General features: G+C 43.2%; 1 protein-coding gene and 1 long non-coding RNA gene across 14 annotated transcripts in view; one reads left to right on the top strand and one right to left on the bottom strand.

Annotated features, from left to right (window-relative positions):
- Positions 1 to 21,928, top strand: part of ZBTB7C (zinc finger and BTB domain containing 7C) — a 385,914-nt gene that overhangs the window by 12,637 nt on the left and 351,349 nt on the right. The window lies entirely within an intron of this gene.
- The window catches only part of LOC124904353 (uncharacterized), a 30,633-nt gene continuing 15,122 nt past the window's right edge, over positions 6,418 to 21,928 (bottom strand). The window contains exons 2-3 of the long non-coding RNA XR_007066458.1: positions 18,684 to 18,794; positions 6,418 to 9,006 (exon numbers count right to left, since the gene is read on the bottom strand). This is a non-coding gene — a long non-coding RNA (uncharacterized LOC124904353). The remainder of the gene's footprint in view (positions 9,007 to 18,683; positions 18,795 to 21,928) is intronic.

The raw sequence follows: 21,928 nt of genomic DNA, 5'->3' as shown, positions 1-21,928 counted from the left end.
CATAAATGGGCACTTGGCCTGTCAAGAGAGGATGTGGGAAGAGGGAGGAAAAAGCAGCAGGTGTGTTTGGGGGAAAGGGTGTGTCCCCAAATGTATTTTAAGCTCCTGAAGTCAGCGGCACTGTTGTCATTGCACTCTGGTGAGTGGGGATTTGGGGTTTTAATCTCCCCACCAGCAACTTCTGGAGGGAAGGAAGCTTTCTTTCCTTTTATGGAGTGTCTCCTCTTTTTAAAATGAGATTGTCACTAAGTAACTGGCTTGTGTCTACCTGACGACCCCAACTCCCAGACAGGAAAGGGGCTTGCCTGCTCTAAGAACTGCTTCAGACGAGGCCCAGGAAGGCTGTCCTGCTCTCAGGTCCCTCCAGAAGGCAGTTGAGGAGCCCAGGGCCAGAGCCAGCTGCCACCCGCCACCCCACCGGCCAGTCCTTCTGCAGCCACGGTGCCTCCTCAATTTTTCTCCTGCAGCTAACAGGTGACGCAACAGGCTGCCTTGAACTGTTTTTAAATGAGGATTTCTCTTTTATGTTTTCCTAAAGCAGATTTTTTATTACTTTTCCAAACATTGTTTGCTTTGAATTTTTAATTTAATTTTTCCGAATAGGTCAACACCTCCATGGTTTAAAATTCAAAAGGTACAAAAGGGGTTTTAAAGTGAAACATCTTTCTCTCACTGCTGTTAGTTTCCTTACCCTGAGGCAGCCACTATTAATGGTTTCTTCAGTTTAAAGACATTTTGTGCAATACAAAACATATGTGTGTATGTGTGCATCCATGCGCATGGTATTTTTAAAAAATTCTTTACTCAAATGGGAGCTTATCTCACGCATTGAATCTCACTTTGCACTTAACGTCTTGGAGATATCTGACTGTCTGACAATTATACCTTGACTTATCTAACCAGCCCGCCTACATGGATATTTCAGTTGTTTCCAGTCTTTTGCTGATACAATACCCAGTGATTTTTGTATGAAAGGGATCCTTGATTTTTCTGAATACAGGAAGATTTATAGCAATCTAAGAATAATTTTGCCAAGTTATTGTTCACAAGACACTTCAAAGGATAAAATTGCTTAATTGTTTAAGGATTAAGGTAGAATAAATAATTTTTGGTTGAACTTCTTAGAAAACGAATCATGTACTCAACACTGATTTATGAAATCAGTGTTTCCTGAGCTCCCACTATGTGCTGGATGCTAGGCCAGGCAAAGGTGGGGGTGGGGGAACAAAGAAAAGGGCATGAGGGATGGTGCTCACGTTGTGGGGGTGGGGAAGCGGTGGGGTCTGAGATAAGCCAGTGACTTTGATGGGAGAAGAGAACAGATGCAGCTTCATGCTGGGGAAAGGAGGTTAAGGCAGCATCGGGCATAGCCTTGATCAAGGCAAAGAGAAGCCACAGAGGTCGTATTGGGCCCTTTGACTTGGGGTGAGGTGCAGGGTATCAGGGAGGGGGCTCTGGGCTGATCAACTCTGTGGGAGCTTAGGCTTTCCTGACCCCAGCTTGTGGCACCATGTCCTTGGTCTCACTTGGCTACCTCAAGGTCACTGCCCATATGCAGGGTCCTCCAAAGGGCAGCTCACCTTGAGGGCCCTTGAAATTCCTCTGGCTTCAGAGTCTGGTAAGCAAAACTCTTTCTCTCAGGCCAATCCCTTCGCAGCAAACAGGCAGCAGTGGCCGAGCAGCCCTGTGGACAGAGGGGGCTGTCATCCTTGCTGTGTGGAAGAAGGCTTTGCCTGCCTGACCTGCAGATCCCAGGACTTGTCCCTGTGTGTACACAGCTTGATGTTCCCCTTCTGAGTTGAGGGAGATCTGCTTCCAATGAATGCTGTCCCTAATCCCGGCAGCCGGCCCTTTCAGGGGCTCAGGATGCTTTTGGAAACAGACTGCAGGGTCAGAGTGTAGACCTCCATCAGCAGGCTTGAAGGTGACAAGCTGAAGTTGCTGAATAGTTGTGGATTGGCCCTGGAAATACCTGGTCACGCAGAAGCTTTGCTGCTTTTGTGTGTGTGCAGGTAGGGAAGCTGTGATCCCACAGGGAATACAAGGTGCATTAGGATTCTGATGGAGTCTTTGGTCCCGGGTGAGGTTCTGCAGGGGATCAGGAGAAGCCCAAGACGTGGTCTTGCCTTCAAAGATGCAAAAATTTGTTTGTGAAAATATATGCAAGACATATATAAGCTTATGCTGAAGAGCTAAATGACATAGTGTAGCTTGTAAGATTTTAAAGAAGAGAGTCCTAGAATCTGTGTGCTTAGAGTTGGCAAGTTGTGAGACCTGTGATGAACTTGGCGAAGGGAGCTGGTAGGAGGATGAGAAATGACATTGCTGAGCAACCACAACAGGCACTTTGTATGTGTGACATAGCCGCTCATTCTCACAGCAACTTTCAATTTAATGTTATTATTCCAAATGAGCAGATGATGAACTGAGGCTTGGAATGTTTAGGTTAACTTACTTGAGGTGATACGGCTATCTGGAAGTGGAAGAGCTCTGATTCCAGAGCCCAAATTCTCTCTATTGCACCTAAATTGGCCCTGAAGTTCCTAGAGGGTATTCAGGTGGGGAACCGCCTGTACAAAGGAATGGTAGCGGGACCAACATGATGGGGGCCAAGCTCAGTGAAGAAATCTGTAGGTGTGTGTAGGAAGCAGGAGGAAATACATTTGGTTAAGGGGGTCAGGCATGGGGAAGTAATTGCAGCAAATCTTAACTCCCAGGCTGGTTCCCGCCCTGTGCAGTTCACATCTGGCTTTCTGCCTAGTTTAGCTCAATATGCTTTGGGAAATGGCATAATTTCCATTTTAGCCTTAAACAATAAGAATTTAGGAAGAGATTATCCACTTGATACCAAGTACTAAAACCGTTTATTTTAGTCCAGTGCCAAACTGGAATGATTTTTATTCATTGACCAATATCTCTTCTTAGGGCATTTTAGGAAATTGCTTTTGGAGCCACGTAAAGCACTGTTGTAAAAATGTAACAAACAGCACCAAGAAATATCAGATCACTAAATTCAGGTGATAAGACATCCCAGAGGTAGGCGTCCACCTATGCTTTATAATTCTATAGATGGATACTTGTATATTTCAACTTCTATGAGAGCCATGTGACTTGCTGACAACCACCATTGTGGCTCGTGGTTCAGCATAAGAATTCTTCTTGTATTATATTCACTCTGTGTGATGTGGGCCAAGTAATATGTGTTGTTGGGGTGATGAGTGGACAGGAACAGAGTGAAGGAGTTGAAGGCTAACAGATCTTGTGTAACGATTAGGCTGTGAAATGTGGCAAGGAGATTCAAGGACCTCATTCAAAGGCTCACGTTTGCATATGCTTCCTTCGGTGGATTTATTATCCATCTTTGTAATCTCAAGGTTTCTCTGTCCTAGTACTAGCTTACAACTAAATATAAACCACTTAAACAAAAAAAGCCCTCCTATGTCTCTGACTGTCTTTAGCCCTTGGGAACCTGTGCCTTGATGAAGTATGAGTAGGTGGTGGACTCAGAGCTCACCTGATGAGGTTTTGTTCATGTCAGGCTTCTTGTCTTGGCTTTTGCAGAGTATTTATTGAAAGCTTCCTGAAGGCAGGGAAAATGCTTCTGATTTCTCATGTAGCTCTGATGTTACATGTGCTTGTGCCCATTTTGCAAATCATCTCCTAATCTGGATAATTTCCAAGAACTCAGAAATCTTGCTCATCAGCTGGGTGGTACAATGACAAAGCAGAGGGCAACATCCTAGTTATTGTCCTTGCCTGCCATTGGAAAGTAGTTGTGTCCTTGCCTCTGTCTATACCTGGAATCCTTGGGTGTTTTTCTAAACTGCTTTGAGAGGGGGGTAGGGATGGAGAGAAAGGTTGTAAAAGTGAATTATTTGATAAAGTAATATTTCTGCTTACATTACAGAAAGCTAAATCATCCTGTGTTCTACCCCCGTTGCTTTGCTGGAATTTCTTGTGACAGATTCTGATGCACCAGATTCCACCACCTCCCTGAGAGTCACCTATTTGCAGAAGTCATTATAAGCCATTGTTTAACTAAAAGCTTTTTTCTTTTCTTTCCTTACAATTTTTAAGACCCTGCATCTGTATAGACCTGACTCAGCAGCTTTCTAGTTTGAGAATTTTTTACTTCTTCTCAGATTCTGGATTGCACTTCCCTAATGTCCTGTTCTTCATTCAGAAATGGCTAAGACTGGCCCAGACTTTGGCTCCAGGTGGGAAGTAGTTTCACCACAAAAGGACACATTTTTGTATGGGGACTCTGCCCCCAGTCCCTGGGTACCTGGTGACTGAGCTCTCCTTCCCGCCTGCTTCATGGGCAGACTAACATTTTTACCAGTGTAAATGGTTACATTCCCTGGGAAAGTAGCCATTTGTCAGGGTGGTAAAGCATTCGCATAGAACACAAGTACACAGATCCACCTTCATACACATCACCCCCAACCCCTCTGACACACACACACACACACACACACACACACACATTTGAATAGAACACACATGCACACATCCACATTCATACACATCACCCCCAACCCCTCTGACACACACACACACACACACACACACATTTGAATAGAACATACATGCACACATCCACATTCATACACATCACCCCCAACCCCTCTGACACACACACACACACACACACACACACACACACACACACACACACACACATTCTCTCTCTCTCTCTCCTTAAACGAGATCATGGATGAAAAGCACCCAGCACAGTGACTGTCACAGAGGCCAGAACTCAGTAAATATTATTGACTATCACTAATATTATAATGACCATGAGCAGGAGGAAAATATAGCCCCCAGACCCTTTGTTGTCATGCTGGAGAATCAGCAGGCACTCTTCCCTAGCTTAGTGACCCTTCCTGATGCTTTTTAATACTCCATCCTTCACACACACACAGCACATTAAGAGTCAGTTCATTCTTGGGATGTGTGCAAAATTCCAATTCCTGTCAGGAGAATTTATATGTGGTTTTAGAGGGGATAATCGACCAGTTAGTATGTGCGCGCTGATTTTATACACATACGCGTCGCCGTTTACAGCACACATTATAACATCTTCAGTCTCTGCCAAGAATTTGCATTTCTTAGCCCCGTGCATTTGCATATTATGGGTTCATAATTTCAAATAGCTGTAAAGATCTCTACAGAAAAATCTAGTCACTGTACTCTGATGTTCTAAATCTCAATATAGTAGTAGAACCTGGCTAATTTTTGCCCCTGCTAATGTATTAGCCTTGTAATTTTTACACACATACGCACACAGACACACACAAACCCCTGACGTTACCCTACTTCTAAGCAAAGATTTAATAGCTGGGAGCTGAGTTACACTGCCTACTTCCCAGACTTCGTTACCTTTCCAAAATATATCATACACATGGTGCAATGTACTATGGTCTTACTACAGATGATTAAAAAGAAAAGATTTATCAAAATGAATGAACCCACTGCATCTGATCTTTCCCTGGTTCGGGTCCCTCACCCCCTACCCTTCAGCTTGAGTCATCTGCTGAACCTCTGGCTTAGCTGAGCGCTGTGAATGAGGCAAAGAGCTCTTCAGAAATTGCTCTTTCAAGCTAGTATCACTAGAAAACCCGGCTACTGACACCGCCCCCTCTAATCAATCATTAGAGAATCTGCCAGAGGCAGCACTTGATTTGACCAAACAAAATAGAGCAGCAGGACAGAAATAAATTTCTGGGACATTTCTTAAGGTCTTGCAGGTACAACACACCTGCATTTTAAAAATGGTCACATGGAGGTTTTGGAAGTTCAGGAAAAAAAGAATGCCAACTTGAAGTCTATTCTACCCCATCTCAGTGTAGGGAGAATTAAATAGCTGAACTATGGAAGTTTTCAAGTGCAATGGCTGTGATAGAAATACTTCAAAATCCACTGTAGCATTGTTGACCTGGGGCCACCAAGACTGGAGACTGGCCAGGCCTGGGAAGGGGAGCCAGTGATTGCTTCATTGTGTCCTCTGCTTTGCTCTTTTGATGCTCAATTAGAAAGTAAATGCTGCAAAAGGCACCTTGAAGATTAGGCACTCTATGCCTTTTTGGCTATCTGGGAGGGTCTCGTCTTCCTGAAAGCAAAGAAACATCATTTTCCAGTGACTGAAGCAGCATGGTTCCTGACTCTGGTGCCTGAGGTTGATGATTTCAGGTTGGTTATGATTATCTTGGTGCCTCTCAGATTTTGCCCTTTGTGGTTTATTTTTAATTAGGGGCGATGGCTATAGTCCTCTGTGTGCGTGTGTGTGTGGATGTGCACATACATGCATGTGTGTGATCATTTGGAAGGTGTCCTGACCAAAATGCCTTTAGTTTCGATTCAGAGCTTAACCAGAGAAGAATCAAATGAAATCTTTATATTAAGACATTCTTTTAACATTTTTAACAGCTTTATTGAAGAATAATTTACATGCCATAGAATTCACTTTGTTTTAGGTGTACAATTCAGTGACTGACTTTATAGTGAGAGACAGTCAGGGAGAGAGGGTGTTGGTGAGGCCGTGACTCTAGAAAGGGGAAGAAAAGGGAAAGGAATCCCTTTGTTTCATGCCCGGGCAAGTGCGTCATCTAGCTTCACCTTCCCTGCAGAAGGGAGCCAAGGGGGCAGGAAGTGTGGTGGTTGGAGCAGGCCTGGTGGGATGGCAGGGGTGGGGGGTGGGGAGGTGGGAGTGGGGATATTGGGGGGCAGCCATACTCTGGGCAGGGCCCCGCTTGATTCCACTCGAGTCCCACCCTGGCAGGTGGGCTCTTCAGGGCTTGGATAAACAACATTTCCTCCCTGGTTATTAAGAGTTCACAAATGCCAAGGTATTGTCACATCAAAAAGCATAGTTATCAGCATATTTAGTGAAAACCACTTCCAGTTCTCACTAATAGACAGTGCTGAAGCGAATTTCTGAGGTCATCCTGGCCAGTATCTTCTATATGTACACAACCAAATACTGTCCCTGGAGCTGAAGTAAGAGGTCTAGGGACACTCACTGGTCAGCAGTAGAGCTGAGACTGGATCGCGGTCTCCCAGCTTTCCAGGCCTTTTTCACTGCACTGTCCTGCCAGAATGACCCTAGCGTGGGCATTGGAGGAAGAGGTCAGAAAGGCAACATGGAGGTCACCAAATACCCATTTTTCTCCTTTATAGGTTTCTTGCAAAGCACTTCCCTCCCTCGGCTCCAGAGCAATTTTTGGCTGCCCAGAGCAATCTTAGTAAGGACACTGTGCTTTCCCAGTCTGATTTCTTTATTGTTTGTGGGATAGGGGAGAGATTCTGGTAAAAGCTGGAAAAACTGCTAGAAGAGTTCTGAAAGAGCTGTAACACTCACTGATTTTCAGGCAGTTCTTACCACTTAGCAATCCTGAAAGGATTGGAGCTCAAGCACGGAACTTCCTAACTTTGGCCTTTATCCAGTAAGCAGCAATCTTGATTATACCTAATAACTCCAAGCAAGAAATGAGGCCAAACAGAGAAACACAGCCATAGCTTGCACTTGGACTTCTGGGCAGAAACCACAATTTTAAATCCCAGTTACATTCTTTTGGGGTGTGTCTCTGTGTTTTGAAAGGAAGTTCTGAAAAACTGTATTTTGGGACAAAAAAAGAGCATTTCATCTTTAAGAATTCAAAGCTTTAAAAAAAGTTGGTGAAGAAATCAATTGTGTGTAGATACAAGTATTTATTAGACACCCAATGTGTGGTGGGAAGGGAAGATCTTGTGCTTTGAAAGGGGACCAGTCTTGCCCTCTGATTTAAGGGACCAGCACAGAGAATTCACCCTGCTGGGATTCTTACTTAGAGGCCTTCCCTTTCAGCCTTTGCCAGCTGGTGTGGAGCAGAAAGCCAACGAATGGGGCAGAAAGCCAAGCTCTCCCTTGCACTGAGTGCCAGAGAGAGGAGAAGTAGGTACAACAGACCCTAAACAGAGGAGCAAAGTCCTCACAGTGAACGATGACAGTTGTGGCCGGGACAACTGAAAAGCTGTAAGAATTTTAACTTCTTGAGGAGATAGCTTGAGGTCTTAGAGCTTTCCTTGAGTTTCTACAAGCTGGGTGAGCCAAAGAGACAAGAGTGCTTGAACAGTAGTTCTCCAAGCGAGGCCCTAGGCTACAACACCAGCATCTGTTGGGATCTCGTGAGAGATGTGCATTTTGGGGTCCCACCCTACCCAGACCACCTGAATCAGAAACTCTAGGGGTGGACCCAACCACGTGTAGTTCAACAAGCCTTCTGGGAGGTTCTGATAAACTCTCAAGTTTGAAAACCACAGCTGTAGAAAGAAGGAGGGTTCACTTAAGCAGTGATTGTTAACAGCTGAGGATCAGAATACTGATTTTGTATTATTTTTGTGAACATGGTAATTCGTTAAGTCATGTCTGGTTAATTTAATAAAGGGTTTGATATTCTGTAGAAAATATAGTTGACTGACTTGCATATCAAACATTCAATGAACTCCACTCAGAGCATGAAAGAAATGTTGACAGTCAGATAGACTGGGCTTTCAACCCTGGCTCTGCCACTGGACCATTTGAAGTTGAACATGTTACTTCAGATTTCTGGGCTTCATTTTTCTCCTTGAGTAAGATCAGAGTAACATTGACAACTTCATGGAGTTCTGGACAATAAAGAAGACTGAGAGACATCTTCTAGGTAGAGCCAAGCTCAGCACTTCAGCCTGCCGGGGCCCGTGGAGAGGATGTCCCTTCACTTGGCTGGCTCAGTTCTGAGGCTGCTGCGTCACATGGCGGCGGTCACCCAGATGCCATGGTTTTACTTCTCTGGAGTGGAGCACCAGTGTTGGAAGGAATTTTGAAGCTCCAGTTCACTCACTTCATTTTATAGATGAGGAAATGGAAACTTGGAGGTTTTAAGCCATACAACTAGTTATTAGCAGAAGGAGGGTTGGAGTCCAGGTCTGCTGCAGCCAGCTCAGTGGCTTTCTCACCCATGGCAGTTGTCTTCATGCATTTTGGCCCTGTAGCACATGAAGGTAAATGCAAGAGTCATTAGCAGGAGCCAGAGAAAGGGTCTTTTGTCAATTGCAAAGCCCTCAGGCAGAGGAGAGGGAGACCCAGTGACTGCACAGCCCTCTCCAGCCGCCACGGGGACCAGGCTCTTAGTGCCCCTGGAGGGATTAGCATGCAATCTCTTTTGAGATAGGCATGTGGATGGCAGAACTGTGGCCCGCTGGGGCTGGAACCACACCTTGGCGATGCTGGGACGCAGCATCTCATTTTACCTGTGGGGAAGTGGAGGCTCAGAAGTGAAGCCCCTGGTCAGGGCTGGAATTTACTCTCGAGGTGAGGCTGCTGGCAGGTTTTAAGCAGGTGACAGACAGGAAATCATCACCAGCAGCTATTAAAAATTGGGCTCCAAGTGTTACCTCTTGGGACCGTGACTGGGCATGACAGTGGGAGGCGCTTTTGCTTTGCATTTTATTTATACCTTTGATATTGTCTGGATTTTTTGTTTATGTCTTACTTTTGTTATATGTGTGTGTTAAAAAACTAATTTAAAAAATGACACTCTTTTCTAGATCAAAGAAATGAATTCTGTGGAGCAGAATATGTAGTACTTTGGAAAGATGATCAAAATAAATTACTAAGCAAAAAATGATACTTTTGGGGGTATGATTCCATTTTGATTAAAATGTATCCATGTATTAAAAAAGTCTGGAACAATGAATATTAAAATATTATTAACATTTTCTTGTTTTAGCCTATCTTTATCTTCTATTTTGTCTAGTGTGAAGATATATTACTATTGTGGTTAGATAAAAATAATTATTGATTTTAATTAAAACAGAAAAGCACAGGTATCTCAGGACAAGCCAGCAGATGCTCCTTCGTTCAGGGCTCCCGATCCAGCCCTTGTCCCTTCATATGGATGGCCGGCCATAGCTTCATTTGACACCAGTGGTGACATCTTTAAATACACTGAAAAAATTTTTCTATTGGAAATCCTCTGACACCAGCTAAGTATAGGACATCTCCTGATGTGGAGATGGGAGTCTAGAAAAACCCACAAATAGATAATTCAGAGAGCATTAGTTCATTAATTCATTCAAAAATATGTATCAAGTGCCTCTTCGTGCCAGGCACTGTACCGGGCTCTTCACATTCAATCGTGCCTTACAGGGCATGGTTGCTCACTTTCCTCTGAGCGTTCTCCTTTCCAGTGTTGATCCAGTTCTTTGTTTTTATCAGGGAGAGCCTCACTGCACAGGAATGTGGTTTCAGCTGGGGTCTTCAGTAATGAGCAGGCTGGGGTTTGGGCTTAGGGTGGCCTGGATGGAGGGTGAGGCTATGAGTATACCCTGGGGAACACCCAAGAGAAATCCTGCCCATTACAACCATTTATTGGTGTTTTCCTGTATCAGGCACTGGGCCAAGTGCTTATACATATTTTCAATCTCTACAAGAACCCTTTAAATGCAAAAAAAAAAAAAAAAAAAAATCCAAGAGTCATGAAAGTAAAGGGCCTGACTCTGGGTCACACATTAGGAAGTAGCAGAGTCAGGAATTGAATCCACTTTTTTTTTTTTTTTTTGGTCTATCTTTGAAGCCCTCTGCCTTCACCCTGTTCTCCTATAACCCCATCTACAGGGTGGTATAGACCCTCAGGTGCTCACAAGGCCCAACACACACACACACACACACACACACACACACACACACACACGAGAGAGAGAGAGAGAGAGAGAGAGAGAGAGAGAGAGAGAGAGAGAGTTAAAGGGCTCTGAACATCACTCCATGAATAAATGACAGAATGTGGTTTTGCAGCCTGCAGTTACCCTGCTACTCACAGCCCGAGGCTTCCACATTAGTTCAGACTGCAGGGCAATTATTTAGAAAGTGTGATGACTCAGAAGGGTTGGGCTGCAGTGGAACCTGGTCCAAATAAAGACTGGGGGGCAGAGGAGAGGTCAACTTAATCCTGTAAACAAGACGATACAGAACAAGGTGGAGTGTAGTCTTTGAACTCTTAAGAACATAGAACTGATTTGTACTTCTAAGGAATCTTTTTGTCCCTACTTGTTCTAGATCAATCAACTATCCATGTACTACCAATTACTTCCATATAAGATGATCTGTGCAAATATCTCTCTTCCAGCTCCAACTTCTGTGATACTAGTGTTTGCCAGTTTATTTTTATTTTTATTTTTTTCTAAAGAGGGGCATTGGTCTGTTGCCCAGGCTGGAGGGCAGTGGTGCAATCATGTTTCACTGTAGCTTTGACCTCCTGGGCTCAAGCAGTCCTCCTGCTTCGGCCTCCCAAGTAGCTGGGATCACAGGCATGTACTACCGCGCCTGGCTGTCAGTTTAAATAAAATATTTCAAAATCAGTTTGCTAAAGCCAACTTCTCTCATGAATTTCCCATTATAAAAAAGAGAGCAAATATAAGCACTGCAATATTTTGAAAATACGTTTTCAATCAGTTACTCAGCAACAGTTTATTCCATTCTTTCTATATACCCAACACACTGCTAGGTGCTGTGGGGAAGTCTGCGGGAAACATAGGACATAATTCCTGACCTTAAGGAACACATTCCTCGCTAGGGAGAAGAGATGAATGTCCATTGAGACAAAATGAAAAAAAAATGCAAGATAGATTCGTATTTATATTTGGCATTGGGATTAAGTGGCAAACTGGTCTTGAAGATGTTCAGCAGAAGGACACCAGAGAGGGCAGGGATAATTAGGGTGGTTTTGTGGCTCAAGTGAGTTCTGAAGTGTGCCCGGGATTTCAGTTGAAGGGAGGCAAACAGGCTCATAAAACAAACCTACAGAGGCCAGGTGCAGTGGCTAACGCCTGTAATCCCAGCGCTTTGGGAGGCCGAGGAGGGCGGATCACTTGAGGTCAGGAGTTCGAGACCAGCCTGGCCAACATGGTAAAACCTCATTTCTACAAAAACTACAAAAATTAGCTGGGTGTGGTGGTGGGTGTCTGTAATCCAAGGTACTCTGGAGGCTGAGGCAGGAGAATCGCTTGAACCCAGGAAGCGGAGGTTGCAGTGAGCTGAGATCGCACCACTGCACTGCAAGACCCTGTCTCAAAACAAACAAACAAACAACAACAACAACAAACCAAACCAAACAAAAAACCTGCATAGCCAACTAGACCAGCATAGAGGGCGAAAACCATGCTTTTTGTCAAATGGTACTGTTTATTCTGTTTTGCTGTCAGCTGGTTTGCCGCTTCTGATAAAGCTAGCCCTTGCTGTGTGCATGCAGGTTATAGTGCCCAGGCTCATATTTCCTCTTCTTGCTGCACCTCCTCTCTGGCCCATCTTCATGTTAGTTTCTCTGTCTCAAAGGAAGATAGAGGCAAAGAGACATGAAGGTCAAATTCATCTGTTTTGCAACTTAGTGAAGTTCAGGGAAGAGATTCATGGTAGGAGGCAGCTAGCTGTAAGTGATGATAAAATGAGACCTGGCAGCTATCTGTGGATTTCAGATGACCGTGTTTTCCAGTAGTCTCCATTACAACTGCCTGTTAGAAATAAAACCCCATTCATTTTGAGCATCTATTAAAGTGGAGGCTGGTTTGGTAGATTAATGCAGTACATTCCTTACTGGTCTCCTCCTCTCTAATCCACCCAGTGGGGCTTCCTGGAATGCTATTCGGCACACTTTACCTTTCTACCAAAAAACCCTCCAATGAGTTCAGAAACCAGACCTCCAAATCCACTCTTGACCAGACTTCGATTGCCTCTGTAGTCTCATTGTCTCTGCATCTTTGCATACCCTGACTCCAACTACTTTGCTGTTCCTGAACATGACATGATATGTCATTCCCCATCCTGGTTTTTGCTTATTGTAGCCCCTCAACCTGAATGTTCTTTACTTCACTTCTATTAAAATCCAACTCATCTTTTGAAATTCACCACACATGCCTCCTACTCCGAGAAGTCTTCCTAGATTATTCCACTGGAACTAATTACTCCTATAGCACCGTGGAGTGAGAAAGCAGAGCGACAACAGAGTAGCTGCATGCTGGGCATCTGGGAGGGTTTGGAAGATTTGGCAAAGGACAGACTCCAGAGAGGTGTGGGAGACTTGGGAAGATAGAAAGCGCAATTTGAGTAATATTTCTATTGGTTATCAAGTGGTGTCTGATAACATTTTTTTGAGATGAAGCACAATAAGGCTAGAATTTCCTTTCAATTATCTTAGGTTGCAAAACTCTGCATCTTTGACTGAGCGTCCTTGCAGAGACGGGGCAATGTGTGGCTCTTGAATTTATTCACGTAACCAATTGCATTCTCCCAGCACATCTGTATACATGGCTGCATCCCATCATCCTACACTCAAGGTTGTTTTTGTATATCTCCTGCTATTCTATGGGCTGGATTTTCCAGAATGGCTCTGATGTGTGGTTTGAAAAATATGGTCGCTGTGGGTAAACCCAGTCTCTTCAGCTTAGATGGCATTCATCTCTTTGGCAAGTATCAGTACCACTTTGTTGACATCCACTCACTGTCTAGGGTAAGCACTGTACTTGCTGAGTGGATGGAAGCAATAGGCTTAGCATCCGAGTTCACCTGGACCTTGGGCTGGTGCATGTTCTTCCCCTGTGGACGCTCAGCATTTGCCCTCTGCTCTTCTCTGTCTGTTATTTCTGCCTTTCAGCATCTAGCGTGGAAGATTCTTGCTATTAGTGATGGTTGAGCAGGGGGCTGTGGGGGCCAGGGAAGAGGGCAGATTGTCCTGAGTCAAGCACAACTGTACTGATTATCCTTGGGATGGATGGAGAAGCCTTTTTTGACAGTCAGAGTTCAGCCTACAGTGTGCTAACCAAAGAGAGCAGCCTATTCTTAGTAGACAGTCTTCCTGATTGCACTCGACAGGGGTGGAATGGAGGATAATGGGTAAGGAACCAGAAAAGGTGGAGATTAGGTGTCTTAGACCTCTGCCTTCTAGTTCACATATTGTATAATATCTGTGACTAACCATAAGGGGTTAAAAATGAGTGGATTTGTGGGGAGGGGGAAGAATCTCCCCGTCATGGAATCAGGGCAGCTGAAAAGGCCACTCTGAGGGAGCTTTGTAGAGACACATGGGCCGTGTGTCTGCCACCCTGGCTGCCAGCAGCACGTCGTGTGGGCTGGCGAGGAGTGAGAAGCAGGCAGCCTTGTGCATGTTTGAAACCACAAATCACGACTCGGCAAATATCGAGGGTTTCCTGTGTATTTCTGAACCGCTAGCTGGAAAAGGTTAAAGGGGCCTTTTGTGTGCTTCAGTTACTTCTCTGCATATGTCCATCTCTGCCCTGCTACCTTACACTCTGAATGGTGCATGCGTTCCGGGCGGGCCTGCCTTTGTGCAGGGCATGTTTGCCCACTTCACAACAGCATGTGCATTTAGACTTGCAAGGGGGGTGACTTTCTGTGGTGCTACCCACTCTCTCCAGCTGTACCCCCAAATGAGATCTGTCATGGCTGGGCTGGGCATAACCAGTTGGCTGGGATAGGAACTGAGGCCTTGACTGTAGCTCCTCCTCATGGTGTTCTCATCAGCGACCCCCATCAGCCTCAGCAGAGGTCATCGCCAGCTTTCTAATGGCCACGCACTGCAGGACATTGTAGGTACTGTGATTTGTGGCCTATAAAAATACTTTTGGCCCAAACAGAAAAATATTGACTCTAAATTGAAAAAAGAGCTACAGACCAGAAAGTAGTAAAGACGGAATAAGGTATATACAAAATATCATATGAGGTCCCTGCTGCTCACCTCAACTCCAAGGCCATCGCGGTAACCCCATCTGAAGGATGTGGGTGCATTTGGGTATGTCAACCATGATGTGAGGTTGCACCTAGCACCATGAGTCATCATCTCACATGACCTTCTGCTGCTTAGGGGTGTCCAATCATTTGGCTTCCCTGTGCCACACTGGAAGAATTGTCTTGGGCCACACATAAAATACACTAACACTGGCTGGGCGTGGTGGCTCATGCCTGTAATCCCAGCACTTTGGGAGGCTGAGGCAGGTGGATCACTAGAGTCCAGGAGTTTGAGACCAGCCTGGCCAAGGTGGTGAAGCCTCGTCTCTACTAAAAATACAAAAATTAGCCGGGCATGGTGGCGCATGCCTGTAAACCTGGCTATTCGGGAGGCTGAGGCGTGAGAATTGCCTGAACCAAGGAGGCAGAGGTTGCAGTGAGCCAAGATGGTGCCACTGCACTCCAGCCTGGGTGACAGAGCGAGACTCAATCTCAAAAAACAAACAAACAAACCAAAAAACACTAAACACTAATGATAGCTGATAAGCTAAAAAAAAAATTGCAAAAATAAAATCACGTTTTAAGAAAGTTTACGAATTTGTGTAGGGCTGCATTCAAAGCGCATGTAGCCCACAGGCTGTGGGTTGGACAAGCCTGTACTACATCTTCAGCAATCCCTCTCCCAACTTTCTAACCACACCCTTCAGTCTCCAATAGCCTCTATTCTAGGAATGTATTGAGAGGGAGAAGGGGCAGACTGCCCTTTCAAAAACAAGTCTCTTCCTGCCTCTATATAGCTTCACCAGTCGTGTTCTGAATCCCTCAGTTCCCAGTGTGGTGGGAGCTCCAGGGAGCAGTCTGGCTCCTAGGTATGAGTGCGGATAGATTTGTCTTAAAGCTATGCTTGCCAAGTACACTTCAGAAGACTGAGACAATGGACAAAGTGCCTTCTGCCTTGTTAGAGGCTGTGGGTGGGGCTTGTCCTGGGATGGGGACTAAACCCAAAGCTGACCGTTGCTCAAGCCTTGTATCTTATTTCCATCCTTCTTCCCTTCACCTTTGTCAATGAAGCAGTTCTCTAGTCTTGTTGATTTGACCCCCTGAATATCTCCTGACTTCTTCCCACTGGCTCCACGTTTGTTGTTACTGCTCTAGTTCAGGCTCCTGATTTCACATGAGGCAATGCACAAATAACCAAGCACAGAGTATCTGTCCCCACTAGTTCTGATCCCTAAAGTTATTTCGTCCCCAGGATTATCTTTCTAATACCCATGCTTAGGTCGAGGCTCCATCCAGCCTGGCTTCCAGAGCTCCCTTCCAGCCTCACTTAGGCACCACAACCCTGATCACACTCTGCCGTGTGCTGAGGGAAGTCATGAGGCTCCATCCAGCCTGGCTTCCAGAGCTCCCTTCCAGCCTTACCTAGGCACCACAACCCCGATCAAACTCTGCTGTGTGCTGTTTCTACAACGTGCCAGACTCAGGTGCCTTTCTCCCCACCCCACCTTTTTCGGTGCCTTAAATATTTAATTTTAGGCAATCCAAACATCAAAAAGTATGAAAAGAAATGTAGTGAAAAATATTCTTCTATCCTTAAGCCCCATCAGTTTGAAAAAGATTGCACTTGGCCAGGCACGGTAGCTCACATGCCTATAATCCCAGCACTTTGGGAGGCTCAGGCAGGCGGATCACTTGAACTCAGGAGTTCGAGACCAGCCTGGCCAACATGGTGAAAACCTGTCGCTACTAAAAATACAAAAATTAGCCAGGGGTGGTGGTGTGTGCCTGTAGTCCCAGCTGCTCGGGAGGCTGAGGCAGGAGGATCACTTGAACCTGGGAGGTCGAGGCTGCAGTGAGCCGAGTTCGCGCCACTGCACTCCATCCTGGGTGACAGAGTGAGTGAGACCCTGCCTTAAATAAATAAATAAATAAATAAAAGATTGTAATTGAATTAGTTTCCTACAAAAGTTTTTGTTTTTTGTGAGGGGGATTCTGTAAGGGGTTATTAATAAAGGGGAATTCTGTATTGACCTAGGCCAGTAGGCTGGTGGGTTTGAGGGTCGGGCTGACAATTGGACTCATGGTCTTCTGAGGCTAAGATGCTGTTACCTCCAGTTCTGCTCAGGTTAGGGAAGCAGGCGCAATGTCATGCCTGTAAATGAAAATTCACATGTGGCCTGGCAAAATTAAGGAGAAAATATCACGCCAAATTTGAGTTCCTGTTACTCAACAATCAAAATGTTTATGTTGCCTGTCACTTTTACACTTTTCAAGTTGCAGGGCATACCTTGAGAGTATAGAAGGGGAAAACGAATGTTAACTCCTGGTCAGCTGCTTACGTTTTATCATTCTAGGTAGTTTTTTACTTCTAAGCTCTGTTATTCCATGGGCCATTAGTATAGTTTGTCCTAACCTAATCTGTATATAAGCAAAGAATTTAAGTGTTAGCTGGAGTTATGCATACTTAGTAGGGCAAATTTCCTGCACAGCAATAACATGCATGCATGCAAAGTCATTCGTGTGACTTTTGAGTTATATTCTATTAGGGTTTCTGCATCATCAACCTTCTTTTGTGGCTTGAATAATACAGAGTTGACTGAGAAAAGTAAAATATTTAGGTTTCTCTTATGTAGGAAGGAGTGTCGTCACCGAGGATGTGGGACACTAAGTGGTAGGTTTTGAAGAAGCGTTTTTATAATAGTAGCTGTCGACAACTTCACTTTCTTTGTTTTACATTAAAGAGATTTATATATTAATACTTCTTGCTATCAAAAACAGAGTGGAAATAGCCGTGGCATAGTGAAGTTTAGCGATATTGGCTTGGCCTCATTATTTGTCGTTTTTTAGTAATTCTTAGCAAATGGTTTTTAAAAACGTATGAAAAACAATAATCCCCTGCTTTCCTAGCCTATCTCCATCTTCAGAAGCTACTCTTTTCCATTCTTTCTCCTGAATTTTTGTGCTTATAGCCATATTTCTAAATCACATGTGTAAATGGCTACATCTTGATTTTTCAGTTTTAGGCATTGGCTTCCCACTAGTATTGGCTTCCTACTAGTGGAAGGTGAAAATTTAGCTCTCTTTCATTGCACCTACCTACCACTTGCACTACAGTGCACGTATGTATTAATCAATTGTATTATTGTTTCCAATTTATTTGTTTTCCCCCATCAATGGATAACAAGCCTTTTCCGTAGTTATATGACTTTCATTCCTATGGAGGGAATAATGCAATTGACATTGAGCCTGGTCGTGTGATCACTTGGTCAGTGGCATGTGAGTGGGACTGCTATATGCCGCTTCTGATCAGAAGCTTAAAAGCCATTGTGTGATCAGGTTAAGTTACTCTTTTCCCTCTGCCAAGAAAATGGACATGTCCCAAAGAGTGGCCAGTCCTTCAGCCTAGATCCTAGAGTGAAGAAGACATGTGGAGCAGCCACAGCTGACTCCTAGCTGTCCTTCAATGTCACATGAGTGAGAAATACTTTTGTTCTTGTAAGTTATTGTGATTTCTTTTGTTACTGCAATATAACCTAGCAAAAGCTAACTGGCCCATTACCTCCCTCATCCTCCCAACATATTTATGTCATAATTTTGGTGAAATAAATATTGAGTAGTTACGTTGTTGTGACTGTGTACACACTCTTCCCAGGTAAGCCATCCAGTATCTCTGTGATTCTGTTCCTTTCTTGAATTACTCTTTGTTTTCCCTAGAGTTGATTATTACATTATTTTATTTGCTTATGATTCCATGTACTTATTACTACTTCAACCTCTGGATCTCTACCAGTTATCTAAATCTCTTCTTAAAATGTTCAGATTATTTTACAGAAATTTCTCTGTGTCTCTGATGTGCTCCAATCTGGACTGATTGATACCTGTGCCTGGTGCATAGCTATCATCTTGGGGCCACCTTTTACCATCATACCTGGGATTCTTTGATTCTCTCCTGTGTTGGATCTTCTGTTTCATACATCTTATGGCCTCTTCTTTCTTGGTTATCCCTCTGTATTTGTGGAGCATATCCTCCAGGAGCTTCCTAAGAAGAAGTACATGGAACATACATTATTTGGAACTTTGAATGTCTTCAAGTATCTTTATTCTACCATCACCCTTGATTGATAGTTTGGTTGGATATAGAATTTTAGCTTGGACATAATTTTCCTTCATAATTTTAGATTTCACTGAGAAATCTGGAACTATTCTGATACCTGATTCTCTGTACATGTCCTGCTTTTTCTCTCCAAAAGGTGGTAGGAGTTTTTTTCTTTTAAATAAACTATTTTAGAATAGTTATAGGCTTACAGAAGTATTGTGATGGTAGTTCAGAGAGCTTTCGTATACGTCATACCCAGTTGCCCTATTCTTAATATCTTATATTAGTATGGTACATCGGTCACAACAAATATTGGTATGTTATCATTAACTAAATTTCATTCTTTATTCAGATTTTCTTAGTTTTCCCTTAATGTTTTTCTTGTTTCAGGATCCCATCGGGATACCACATTACATTTAGTCGTCATATCTCCTTAGACTCTTCTTGGCTGTGACTGTTTGTAACCAAGGCTTCTAATAATTAGGTGTGCTCATTGCTACTGGGTTGTCATTGCTTCTAGGCCCCCTCAGATGACAGAGCATGGATATATATGTGTGTGTACTAACCACTGTACATATGTATGTCTGTAAATATTTTATATGTAACCACTTGTATTTATGTCAAGGTAAACATGAGTTCATACCGATGTCTCCGACTAATCCATCATCTCATGGATTGTTTTAGTCTCTTCCCTTTGCTTATTTGTAACTTCCCATTCCAACAGTGAGAAACCTGGCTCCCACCATCTGCCATCCATTTATTTAATATTCAATTCCCATATACGCATGTAGCCGTTTCAGAATTGTTAACCTATATCCTCATGGGAAAAAACTCTATCAAACTAGAGTATGGTTCCTTTTGCCTTTAGTCTTATACATTCTGCTTATTTCCAAAACTACTAAGGTCAGCACCTTATTCCCTGACCTCTTCAGTGAGCTTGTTTCATATATTTCTAATACATTTAGATTTTTTTTGTCAAATTATACATTCCATCCTGGGCTTCCTCCACCTCCTAAATGATTTAAAAACAATTTTCGTACATTAAGGTTTACTCTTTGTGCTATAAAGTTCTGTGGGTTTTGACAAATGCTTATTCTCTGTCTTATATTCACTGTTACAGTATCATATAGAATAGTTTCATGACCCTAAATAGCTTACAGGTGTGTGGCAGTGTTTTATTGTTGTTTAAATGCACAATTTCCTTACCAAAATTATGTTGAGCATCTTTTCATGTACTTATTTGCTATCTGTATGTTTTCTTTGATGAGGAGTCTGTTTGGATCTTTATCCATTTCTTAATTGGGGCATTTGTTTTCTTATTGTTGAGTTTTAAGAGTTGTTTGAATATTTTGGATACATGTCTTTTTTCAGATGTGTGTATTGCACATCATATTCTCTTTTAATCTGGGCCTTGTCTTTTTATTCTCTTACCAGTGTCTTTCATAGATCTGAAGGTTTTTATTTTAATAAAGTCCACCTTACCAATTTTTTTCTGTCAAAAACCTGTGCTTTTTCAATACCTTAGATAAAGATAAAAGCACAACTGATAAAAATAGATCCACTATGAGGCAAAGCACAGCATCATGACGTTTCAGAACACTGGGGTAAAAAACAAAACCGAACATGTTCATGGATAGGAAGACTCCATAGTAAGATATTGGTTCTTCCTGATTTTATCTACAGATTCAACACAATCTCAGTCAAAATCCCTGTAGATATTGACAAAGTAATTCTAAAGTTTATATTGAAAAGCAAATATCTGGAATAACTGATACAATACTGAAAAAGAACAAAGTTGAAGAATGCATACTACCCAGTTTCCAGGCTAATTTAGGCTATGGTAATCAAGAGGGGGTGGTATTAGCAAAAGAATAGACAAATAGGTCAATAGAACAGAATAGAGAACCCAGAAAGAGGCCACACAAATGTAGTCAACTGATCTTTGACAAAGGAGGAAAGACAACTTAATGGAGAAAAGATAGTCTTATTAATAAATGATACTGTAATGATTGAATGCTATACAGATGCTCCTTAACTTACCATAGGATTATGTCCTAATAAACCCCTCATAAGTTAAAAATATCATAAGTTGAAAATGCATTTTTGAAAAGCTACTGAACATTATAGCTTAGCCTAGCCTACCCTAAACATGCTCAGAACACTTATATTAGCCTCTAGTTTTATTGACTTTTCTCTCCTCTTTTCCATCTCTGTCTTTTGCTTTACTTTCTGGAAGAGTTCCTCAATTTTATATTCCAACTCCCTACTGAGTACTTCATTTATTATATTTTTAATTTACAAGAATTTTTGTTTCTATTCTCTGAATGTTCATTTTATAGCATTCTGTTCTTGTTTTATGATTGCATATTGTCTGTCTGAGGAAATTAATGGTAATTTTTTTTAAGTTTTTTTTCTTCCTGCAGTCTCTGTTCTTTCCAAGTTGTTTGTTTTGGTCTCTGTTGTTTGATTTTGAAGCTTTCTTTAGTCATCCAGTTATTCTTGTTTATCTGCATATATTTAAAAATCTCCGAGTGCAGGTAGGATGTGATGGCAATGGGTTTTATTGGAGAACCATCTGGTTGGGCCTTTTTCTTGTGGAATCTTCAATGTCAGTATTGTAAAGTCTTTCTTCTTAGCTGGGTTGGGGTCTTCAGAGAAGGCTCATCCACCTTCTGCCTGGAGGGTAATGTGCTGAGAGTTGGTGCTCTGAGTGCCTAGTGGATGAAGACTGGAGCCTCAGTAATGGGAATGTAAGTGAATGTTCTTTAATCCCCCTGTTTTCAGTGTGGCAGATCTCTCCTCAGTTCTACTTGGTGTTTCCCAGTCCAGAAAGCCTCTATTTGGTCTTTCCAAAGAATAAAACTCCATCTTCTGCTGGTCTGGGCAAGGGACAGTCACTAATCAGAGAAGAAACTCTAACTTTCCTAAGCAGACTGCTAACCAACCTTCCTTTTTTTTTGAAACGGAGTTTCACTCTTGTTGCCCAGGATGCGATCTCGGCTCACTGCAACCTCCGCCTCCCGGGTTCAAGTGATTCTCTTGCTTCAGCCTCCTGAGTAGCTGGGATTACAAGTGCA

The sequence above is a fragment of the Homo sapiens genome, chromosome 18 (genome assembly GCF_000001405.40).
Source record: "Homo sapiens chromosome 18, GRCh38.p14 Primary Assembly".
NCBI classification, from domain to species: domain Eukaryota; kingdom Metazoa; phylum Chordata; class Mammalia; order Primates; family Hominidae; genus Homo; species Homo sapiens.
This window is presented reverse-complemented; position numbering and strand designations above follow the sequence as displayed.